Raw genomic sequence first — 6,804 nt, 5'->3', positions numbered from 1 at the left:
TTGAAGTAGGTGTTTGGCTTTTTGACTTTTCAAAAGCCAGGGCTAAAGCCAACATCAAACAGTAGATTTTGATAAATAGTAAAGCTGAAGGAAAACTTCAGCATGTCACTAAAGAGGTTTGCTGAATAGAAAATGCTGGATAGGAAATAAAAATGAGGCTGGGTGTGGTGGCTCATGCCTGTAATCCCAGCACTTTGGGAGGCAGAGTCAGGCAGAGGTGGGTGAATCACGAGGTCAGGAGTTTGAAACCAGCCTGGCCAGTATGGTGAAACCCCGTCTCTACTAAAAAACATAAAAATTAGCAGGGCATGGTGGCATGCGCCTATAGTCCCAGTTACTCAGGAGGCTGAGGCAGGAGAATTGCTTGAACTTGGGAGGGAGAGGTTGCAGTGAGCTGAGATCATGCCACTGCACCCCAGCCTGGGTGACAGAGTGAGACTCCATCTCAAAAAAAAAAAAAAAAAAAAATAGAAATGGGTTACGGAGAGGGGACTGCCATAGCAATGTAGAGGAATTTACTACCTAAGTGACTGCAGAGGACACAAGAGGAGAAACAAGTCAAGTAGCCCCATGGTGTCCTGTAGAGAATCAGAACTTGGAGACACTTGCAGAACTGCAGAGATGGTGATGAGATGGGAGGCTGACAGCAGGGAGGGAGGACAAGGTGTGTTTATGTGTTATGGGCAAAGTCCCCTGTAGAGAGACACATATTCCTCATGCCCACATCTTACTCCACCTACCCTCTCGAGGAAATTAGGCCTTTATTTCCTTTTTGGAGAAGCTGAAAAAGAAAGACTACAGAATAGAGAATTACAGATATAGTAAAGTGGAGGAGAGAAAAAGCATTTTTTAAAAAGGAAATGAAGTCAAATCCTACATATTGATCAATAAGACCCCTCCCCCAAACCCCACCTGCCACCGCTCTACCTGGAGTGACTGACCCCATCCCTATTTCCAGGCCTTTCCATAGGCTACCCTATCTGGGCACACTCTTTTTCAAACTTTTCTACTCTTATTTACTTCTCCCCTTAATTAAAATGTGCCTGTCTTGTGTCCTACTCTTCCAGTGATTTTTATTTGCTGCGCCTCACATGATGTCAATGAGATAAAAAACAAAGCTGCCTAGGACATGCTGTAGCCACTCACTCCATGTGGCCATGATTGGGCACTTGAAATATGGCTGGTCTGAATTGAGATGTACTGTTAAGTGTAAAATACACACCAAATTGTTAAGACTTAGTGTGGAAAAAATGTAAAATATCTCATTAGTAATTTCATGTTGATTAATGTTGAAATGATAATTTCTGGATATATTTATTTAAAGAAAGTACAATATTAAAATTAATTTCATCTCTTTCCTTTTACTTTATTAAATGTAGCTACTAGAAGATTGAAATCTTCATATATGAAATTATATATGTTGCTCATATTACATTTCTACTGGGCAGTAATGGTCTGGACTAATGGGTTGTGGACTAGACCTACTACTTGCAGTAGCTATCAGAAGATTGAAATTGTATACGTTGCTCGCATTACATTTCTACCGGACAGCAATGGTCTGGACTAATGTGTTGGTCCGGGTGTTCGTCACGTTGATGCTCAGGAGCAGTTTCCAGACGTCTCTGCTGTACTGGAGCCTGCCCGGCTTCTGCTGCTGCTCCGACATGAAGGCTGCCCGTATCTGCAAGTTGCTCTCGCACTTATTGTCAGGCCCGCACTCCTTCTGGAACTGGACCTCAGTATGGTTCTCCAAAGCCCGTGCCTGGTGGGCGTCCAGGGACCAGAGCCCCGGCTGCAGGCGATCCGGCATCCGTATAGGTAAAGAGTAGTTCATGGAGATGATGATGGGATGGAGTTTGTCACGGAGGTTGTCCATCTGGAGCAACTCCAGCTAGGGCAGCATATCTCGGGCATGGAGAAGAAGCCGTGGAAGACAGCTGACTCACTGCCGGCAAAGCCGAGCCGGGGTGGGCGGCGGTCCCTGTCAGCCTCCAGAGTGTAGGCCAGGGTTTACATAAATAATTACATACATAATTTCAATCTTCTAGTAGCCACATTTAGTAAAGCAAAAAGAAATAGGTGAAATTAATTTTAATACTATATTTAAACCAATGTACCCAAAATAATAACATTTCAACATTAATCAACATAAAAATTACTAATAAGATATTTTACATTTTTTCCACACCAAGTCTTAACAATTTGGTGTGTATTTCACACTTAACAGTACATCTCAATTCAGCCACATTTCAAGTGCTCAATCATAGCCACAGATAGCGAGTGACTACCATTTTAGACAGTATGTCCCAGGCTGCTTTGTTTTTTATGTGGTTGACCTCAAGTGAGGCACAGCAAATAATCAGCAGTGTTTCCAAATTTCCAGGTGAAAAATTAGGTATAACTATCTATCCATAAGTCGAAAGTAAGAGTAAAATCAAGATTTTTTTGGATATGCAAAAACTCGAAAATATCAACTCTCATGCACACTTTGTCAGGAGGCTGCTAGAGGAAGTGGCCAGAGTGGGAGGAGGTGAGGTTACAAGATCTAGAAGATCCTCCATATCAGTTTCTGTAGAAGGGGCTGTGGTCTGGTAGCTACTGTAAGTAGCTGTCTCATGTGAGGCATAGCAAATCTGGAATTCCCTCTTCTGTAGTCTATCTTTTTCAGCTTCTACGAAAAAGAAATAAAGGCCCAGTTTCCTTGAGAGGGTAGATGAAGTAAGATGTTGGGGCCTATTACTGAGATGAGAGATTACAGGAAGAGAGGGTCCTTCCACCTGGTCAAAGTGAATACCTCCTTTGATACTATGGGTTCTAATCCCCACATCTCTTCAGGGACCTTCTTAAAGCACGAATTTTTCCTCTTCTTGTATCTTCAGCCTCACCCTTTTTTGCCTCCCAAGTCTCTGCTGCTCCATGTTCACTACCATCCCTCCTCCAGCTGCTGCCTTTTCCTGCAGCCTCACTCTGCTCCACCCTGGACATCATCCTTCTTTCTTCATTTCTCCAAAGTTCCACTGACAACAGATTGGGGCCTGCTACAGACATTTTCAGAAAGATTGGAGTATTATATGTTAATTGCTACTCAAGGAAGGAAGCAACAATTGAACCTCAGACATTACTATTGCAAGATTTAAAAAAAAAGGATATTCCATCCCCTGCCCCAGAACATTTCTCTTGGGCCCTACCTACTCTCTTCCACTGTGTCCTTCGAGCTGCTCCCTCCTTCTTCTTACCCAGTTATCTGAGGACTACTTCCAAATTCACATGAAGTATTTTAGCTCCCTCCCTCCCTTTGAAATAAGGCTTTGATCCTTTGCACATATAAAAATTCATTTTTGGCTCAGCTAAACAAGGAATTATTTGATCTATGACTTTATTGTGAAAAAAAAAAAAGACAAAAAACTGGCAGAAGCTTTGAGACAGCAGTTGTTCTTTAATATAATCCAGGATCAAATTCTTAGGCACAGACTCTACCTACAGAGACCCCCATGGGTATGGGCTGTTTCCTTTTTATAAATGATTATCTTACAAACGTTAGAAGTTATTGTAATTATGTTTGCTCAGCTGTTTCCACTGCTTGCACCAGTGCACCACTGCTGGCAAAGCTGTGCAAAAAAAAGTAACCTTTTCTGAGGCCCCATAGCTTTTTTGGTTAACCTTAGACTTTCTTCATTTCTAAGAAGAGCTTACAGAGCTTTTTTAAAAAAAAAAATTGTGGTTAAAAAAACATAAAACATTAGATTTGCCCTCTTAACACATTTTAAGTGTAGGTACAGTACAATATTACTACCTATAAATGCCATTTTATAGAGCAGATCTCTAAAACTTTTCTATCTCCTATTGCTAAAACTGTATATCCGTTGAGCAGTAATTTTTCCATCTCCCAATCCCTGCCAGCCCTGGGAAATGCCATTCTACTTTCTGCCTCTATAAGTTTGACTACTTTATCAATAACTCATAAAAGTGGAATTGCCAAGTGACGATGGCTCCTGTCTGTAATCCCAGCTACTTGGGAGGCTGAGGTGGGAGGATCACTTGAGCCCAGCAGTTGGACACAAGTCTGGGCAACATAGCAAGACCCTGTCTCTTAAAAAATAAAATAAAATAAAAGTGAAATCATGCAGTATTTGTCCTTCTGTGATGGGCTTATTTCACTTAATGTCCTCAATGATGCATCCATGTTGTAGCATATGACAGGAATTCTTTCTTTTTTTATGACTGAATAATATTCCTTTACATGCATATAACACATCCCCTTTATCCATTCATCACTCAGTAGACATTGAGGTTGTTTCCACCTCTTGTTGATTATGAATAATGCTGCTATGAACATGGGAGTGCAAATATTTCTTTGAGATCCTAATTTCAATTACTTCAGATATATTCCCAGAGGTAGGATTGCTGGATCATATTGTAGCTCTATTTTTAATTTTTGAGGAAGCATCATAGTGTCTTCCATAATGGCTGTACCATTTTACTTTCCCACCAACAGTGCACAGGAGTTCTGATTTCTCTGTGTTATAGTCAAACTTGTTATTTTCTGTTTTATATTTCATATATATATATATATGTACCATCCTCACAGGTTTGAGGTCATATCTCATTATGGTTTTGATTTGCATTTTCCCGATGATTAGTGGTGTTGAACATTTTTTCATATACCTATTGGCCATCTATATGTCTTCTTTGGAGAAATGTCTATTCAAGTTCTTTGTCCATTTTTTATCAGGTTATTATTTTTTATTTTTTTGGTATTGAGTTGTAGGAGTTCCTTATATATTTCAGGTATTAACTCCTTATCAGATACATGATTCCCAAATATTTTCTCCAATCCATGGGTTGCCTTTTCAGTTTGTTGAATTTTTTTTTTTTTTGGTATTGTAGAAGCTTTTTAGTGTAATGTAGTTCTGTTTGTCCATTTTTGCTTTTCTTCCCTGTACTTTTGGTGTTAGATGCAAGAAATCACTGCCAGGACTAACGTTGTGAAGATTTTTCCCTTCGTTTTCTTCTGAGAGTTTTATAGTTTTGGGTCTTATGTTTAAATTTTAAATTCATTTTGAGTTGATTTTTGTGTATGGTGTAAGATGAGAGCCCAATTTTATTTTCTTTAAAAACATGGACATCTATTTTTTCCAACATCTTTTGTTGAAGAGACTCCACTGTGTAGTATTGGCACCCTCGTCAAAGATCATCTGACTATATATGCATGAGGTCATTTCGGCTCTCTATTTTGTTCCATTGATCTTTATGTCAGTTCCACACAATTTTTATGATTGTAGCTTTGCAGTATATTTTGAGAACAGATAGTGTGAGGCTTCTAGTTCTGTTCTTTCTCAAGAATAGAAAGAACAGTTGGGTTTGTGGAGGTTTTATGCCCGCAGATGGAAGAGCTTTTCTAGTTTTATAGTCTCCTCCATTGAGGATATTCACCTCAAAATTCTATCATCTTTCGGCCAAAGATTGCTAGAGGTCTGCTCTGATATCTCACCCTTCCTAAGGTGGATAAACTAATGACACCCCCCATACCATGAGTTTAAGAGGCCTTAGAAATCACATATTCTCACCTTTTATTTAACTGATGAGAAACTGAAGCCTACAGAAGTAGTTAGTTGGTGGTAGACCCAGAGCTAGAACCCAGGATTCCTGGCCCTAATTCTATTATTCTTTCTACTCCATAAAATAAATGTACAGGAGGAGAGTTAGGGAGGCAGAAGCCATACCTGAAGGTTGCAAAATAGTATAGTTCTGAGTGAGAAAGGGGGCACATCCAAGAGGACCCTTCACTGATTTAAGGGTTGCTGAGCAGAATCCTGCTGTAGAGACAATAGAGGCACCACCAGGAGCCTGATAAAGTGTCCACAGACTATCCCTTGGGCCAGAGCCTTTTCTGACCAATTCAGGCCACTGTCAGTTTCCTAAAGCCAGGCATAACTTCCGGGCAAGGGGGATTATTCTGAAGGAGAAGCCACCTCTTTAGGGTCTATGAGCTTAGATTTAGGGCTTCCTTCTAATCACTATTGTTCTTGCCAAGCCCTCACAACCAGAAGTGATGGTCTCAGAGACAGAGATCATCAAAAGAGAAACAAAGGAGACAGGACCAAAATGCAGCATTTTCTCCATCAGGCAACAGAGGGAGGAGGAGCCTGCAGAGGAGGTGAAGTGACAGTTAGAGAGGTAGGATTTAAACCAGTAGGGCTGAGTGGGAAAGAGTCCAACATGACAAATGTGGCAGAAATCAGAGGCAAGGGCTGCGGAAGACTGGAAACGGTTGTTCCTTCAGGGAAGCAATTTTTTGTGTGTGATGGTTACAGAGCCAGATTTTGAGGAAATAAGTGAGGAAATGGTGAGAGGCAGCAAGTATGGACTACTTTCAAAATCTGGTGTTGAAAGGAAGTAGAGGGACAGCGGAGAAGGGTGAAGAGATAATCTTGGTGTTTACTGTTAACAGTTCAATATATGATGTTTGAAATTTATATGATGCAAGAGCTACAAGAGCTTAGCCCTTCAAGGAAGGAGCTTGGAGGGAAAACTTTTAATATTAAAAAAAAAGTCTCTGGGGAAGGAGCAAAGTTGGTGGACTAGAAGCTGCTCATGTGTATTGCTCGCTTGGAAAGGAAACAAAAGAGCTAGTGAACACTGAAGGGCTAGTGAACGCTGACCTTGCAGGCTGATCATCTGCGAAACCACTTCGGGATGCAACAAGGCAGCAGGGGGACACAGAAAGAAGAGAAAAGCAAAGCTGGGGACCAGCCTGTCTGGGCTCAGGGCAGAGCCAGGAAAACCTCTCCAACATGGGAAAGG

At 40.9% G+C, this 6,804-nt stretch overlaps 1 annotated feature.

Annotated features, from left to right (window-relative positions):
- Window positions 1,274-1,773: an enhancer, noted in NCBI's record as "H3K4me1 hESC enhancer chr14:52622695-52623194 (GRCh37/hg19 assembly coordinates)". NCBI's record gives its function as "activates a minimal SCP1, AML or CMV promoter by ChIP-STARR-seq in primed H9 embryonic stem cells {active_cell/tissue: H9 hESC(primed)}" and the evidence as "EXISTENCE:reporter gene assay evidence [ECO:0000049][PMID:30033119]".

The sequence above is a fragment of the Homo sapiens genome, chromosome 14 (assembly GCF_000001405.40).
Source record: "Homo sapiens chromosome 14, GRCh38.p14 Primary Assembly".
Taxonomy (NCBI): domain Eukaryota; kingdom Metazoa; phylum Chordata; class Mammalia; order Primates; family Hominidae; genus Homo; species Homo sapiens.
The sequence above is the reverse complement of the archived record's forward strand: the minus strand, read 5'-3'. Positions and strand labels throughout refer to the sequence as shown.